The 4,663-nt window shown below is 30.6% G+C and overlaps 1 annotated feature.

The window, feature by feature from the left end:
• Positions 616–847: a silencer, noted in NCBI's record as "fragment chr4:45301595-45301826 (GRCh37/hg19 assembly coordinates)". NCBI's record gives its function as "represses an EF-1alpha promoter that drives an FKBP-Casp9 reporter gene in an ReSE screen in K562 erythroleukemia cells {active_cell/tissue: K562}" and the evidence as "EXISTENCE:reporter gene assay evidence [ECO:0000049][PMID:32094911]".

The raw sequence follows: 4,663 nt of genomic DNA, 5'->3' as shown, positions 1-4,663 counted from the left end.
AAGTTTAGCAAAGAAATACAAGATACAAAGAAGAGCCACATAGAACTAAAAAAATACAACAACAAATAAAATACTTAGTGGATGGCCTCAACAACAGAATTGAAAAGAAAATGGAAAGTATCATTGAATTTTAAGATAGAACAGAAATTACCCAATATGAAAAATAAAGAAATTTTACACACACACACACACACACACACACCTAACACACATTGTATTAGGCCATTCTCAAATTGCTATAAAAAAGATACCTGAGACTAGGTAATTTATAAAGAAAAGAGGTTTAATTGTCTCACAGTTCCACAGGATGTACAGGAAGCATGATGCTGGCATCTGCTTGGCCTCTGTGGAGGTCTCAGAAAGCTTCCAATTATAGTGGAAGACCAAGGGGAAGCACACACATCACATAGCTGGAATAGGAGCAATAGGGAGGCAGGGGAGGTGCTACACACTTTTAATAATCAGGTATTATGAGAATTCTTTCACAAGAACAGCACCTAGAGGATGGTGCTAAACCAAGCTTGTCCAACCTGCAGCCCATGGGCTGTGTGCAGCCCAGGACAGTTTTGAAAATGGCTCAACACAATCTATAAACTTTCTTAAAACATTATGAAGTTTTCTGTGTGATTTTTTTTAGCTCATCACCTATCATTAGTGTTAGTATATTTTATGTATGGCCCAAGGCAATTTTTCTTCTTCCAATGTGGCCCAGGGAAGCCGTGAGGGTGGTTCATTCATGAATGGTTTAGCACAATCCTGTTCTAAATCACTCCTGATGGATCCACCCCCATGATCCAGTCACCTTCTGCCAGGCCCCGTTTCCAACACTGAGGACTACAATTGAACATAAGATTCAGGCGGGTCAGAGATCCAAACCATATCACCCACATAAGAATCAACAAGGCTTCATGGACATGGGGGTCTATACCCAATTATTTGGCACTAATGTCACTAAAGTCCTACAGGAATGAAGAAAGAGGGTGGGGCTGAAACATTAAGGGAAGAAAATGCAATGGCTGGAACTTTCATACATTAGGCAAAATAGATAAAGCCCTAGCTTCAAGAAAGTGAATAAACCTTTTTTTCAAAAGTCCAAATAAATACATGCAAAGACTCATCATAGTCAATCTTCTGAAAACTGAAAAAAAAATCTTGAAAGTAGTCTTAGAGAAAGCAAACCTTATGTATAGGTATTAACCTATTTGAACTACAGCAGATTTCTCATTGGAAACTATGAAGGTTGAACAAAGTGACAAAACAATTTCCAACAATTTTCAAGAGTGGAAATAATTCTTTCAATCCAGATTTCTATATCCAGTGAAAATCACCTTCAGTTATGAAGGTAAAATAAAATTTATTTCGTGTAAAGGAAAACCTAGATAATCTGTTGTTAGTAGATCTACCTTTAAACAATGTCAAAAATACGTTTTCTAAACAGAAAACATTAAGGAAGGGAACTTGGAACATCAGGAAGTAAGAAAAAACAAAGTAAGCAAAATCTATGGGTAAATGCTACATACAGATTTTCCTTTTACTCTTAAGTTTTAAAAAATTGTTTGAATGTAGAAGTGATAATTATTACATTCTGTGATGTGGTTCTAAATGAATTTAAAGGAAATATATAAGGCAATTATATGATAAATAAAGGAGGCTAGAAGAGATGTAATAGTAAGATTTTTACACCTTACTTGAGTGGTTAAAATGACAATTTCAGTAGACTGTGATAAGATGTATATATAATATAATATTTAGAAACCACAAAAAACTTACAATTACATAAACTAAAAATAATGTAGATAAATCCATACTAATACTCACAAATATTCATGTAACCAAGAGGAAAACAGTAAAAGAAAAAGAGAGAAATTAAAACAGAAAAATCAAACAGAAAACAAATACTCAAATGCCAGATTTAAACCCTAATATATCAACAATTACATTAAGTGTAAATGGACTAACTATACTAATTTTTAAAACCAGAGATGTGTAGGGTGAATTAAAGAGACTAATTCGACTATCTGCTATCTACAAAAACTCATTTCAAACATAATGATGTGGGCAGGTTGAAAATAAAAAGACATATTGTAAAATGTTAATCAAAATAAATCAAATTGCTATACTAATATCAGATAAAACAAATTTCAGAGCAAAGAGAATTATCATATGAAAAGACATACTTTATATAATAAAGGGTTCAATCTACCCTGAAGACACAGCAATCCTAGATATGCATGCACCAAAGAACGGAGGTATAATATATGTGAAGTTCAAAGCTTAAAGAACTGAAATGATAAATAGACAAACCCACAATTATAATTGGAGACATCAACATCCCTCATTTAACATTTGGTAGAAGAACTAGAGAGAAAATTCACATGTATCTGAAAGAACTAAACAATACCATTAACCAACAGGATCTTATAGAAATTTATAAAACACCCCACCCAATAAAAGCAGAGTATACATTCAAGAAAAAACAATTCAAATATCAAAGGTATCACCTCAAGAATCTGGTAATATAAGAGAAAAATAAGCACAAAACAAGCAGAAGGATGAGCAGAAAAAAACAAACAAATCCAGAAAATAATATAGGAAATGTATTAACTAACATCTATAAAATTGTCAGACCTCTAACCAGAGTGATAAAGAGGGAAGAGAAAACACAAATTTCCTATATCAGCAGTGAAACATGGAATATTGCTAAAGATCATGCATATAGTAAAATAATAAAGGGATACTATATATAAATCTGTACAAATAAATTGGCCAATTTAGATGAATTGGACCAACTCTTTGAATAATATAAAACATCACAACTTATCCAATATAAAATAGGTCATTTAAATAAATTTATAATTACCAAAGACATTGATTTTATAGACTAAAAATTCCTAGAGCTGAAACCTTTCATCCTAGATCATTCCACTGAATGAGCAAAACTTAAAGAAAGAATTATCACCAATTCTATACAATACTTTCTAGAAAATAGAAGAGCTGGTTATATACCATGACCAAGTAAAATTTGCAAAGTTAGTTTGATACAGTCATGCATCTCTTAACAATGGTTACATGTTCTGAGAAATGCACTGTTAGGCAGTTTCATCTCTGTGCAAACCTAGATGGTACAGCCTCCTACATACCTAGGCTAAGTGGTATAGCATATTGCTCCTAGACTACAAACTTGTACAGCATGTTACTTTATTGAATAGTACAAGGAAATATTAACACAATGATAATTATTTGTGTGATAGGAACTTTTTAGCTCCATTCTAATCTTACAGAACCACCATCTTCTACATAGTCCATCCTTGACCAAAACACCATTATAAAGTGCATAACTGTATTTGAAAATCAGTCCATGTAATCTAACATATTAACAGGCAAAAGAAGAAAAACCACATTTGTCAATCAATTCATAGCATGGAAAAAGCATCTGATAAAATTCATCAAAAATTTGTGACAAAAAGTCCTAGAAAATAAGAATGGGAGAACTTCCTCAACTTTATGTTGCTGATTTTCATATAATTAAATTTAATTTATGTGAAGAAATTTGTTGAATAATTTTTTCCCTTTGTAACCATTCCCATTTTCACATGATGATTGCTAAGAAGTCATAATAAATGGTAAATTAAATTACATCATTATAATTGAATAATTTCAAAGGCAATATTATTAGAAAGTCTCTCAATACTTACATCAAAAATAGTACTACAGTTGTTACAAAGTGGAATAGAGACTGTAAGATAAGTGGTTTAGAGCAATGAATGTATTAATGAACTCTGAGAATTAAAATAAATTTTACTAAATTTGGCTTCGGTCTATTAAAAAACTATTAAAAGTATTACAATATTGCTACTTTTAATTAAACTGATTTTTCCATGAATAGTTATTTTTCTTGTAATTTGATTAAACTGTTAAGCTAGAATAAGAAAGCAATGAAAGAATAAAGTAATATTAAAATATTCAGTATGGGTAAATAACTTTGCATTCTTTGGTAACAGTATTTTTCAGGAAAACAAGAAACAATTATAATAGAATGTAGTTTTTAAACATTAAAATATAAGACATAAAAGGAAGTAGTACTTTGTATATATTTTAGGGAGGTGACATGATAGCAAGTTAAGACTTGTGGAATAATATAGATCAGAATTAAGATGACATAAAACGCCAATTATAAAATTTTCAGCCTCATATTGGGATGTCAAATCATTAAAATAAGATGTAAAGCAGTGGTGTTCTAACTATGATATAAAAGAAGACAAAATAATCATTAGTTTCAGAAGATATCTCTCACAACCACATACATATAGAAACACCCTACTTATACAATAAAGAAAATCAACTAGAAATGTATTAGAATTCAAATTTTTGTTGGTTTCCTTAGGATGTGTCAATGAAAAACAAATATTTCAAAAATATTAAGAGATTTACTGCATACCATTCATACAATTTAAAATAAAATTCAAATTTAAGAATCTTGGTTCACAGTGGAATAAATATACTATGCACATAAATTTTTAAAACACTATAAATTTTTTCATAGACAAAAATCTATGCATTCACCAAGAAACAAACTAGATATGAATAAATAGAAAACAACAATGTTCTTGAAGAGAATTTAATAAATTGAAGACACCAAGTAGCTCTGAAATTATGTTTAGAT

This window comes from Homo sapiens, chromosome 4 (genome assembly GCF_000001405.40).
Source record: "Homo sapiens chromosome 4, GRCh38.p14 Primary Assembly".
Classification (NCBI taxonomy): domain Eukaryota; kingdom Metazoa; phylum Chordata; class Mammalia; order Primates; family Hominidae; genus Homo; species Homo sapiens.
Note: the sequence above shows the minus strand (reverse complement) of the source record. Positions and strands in the feature narration are given on the sequence as shown.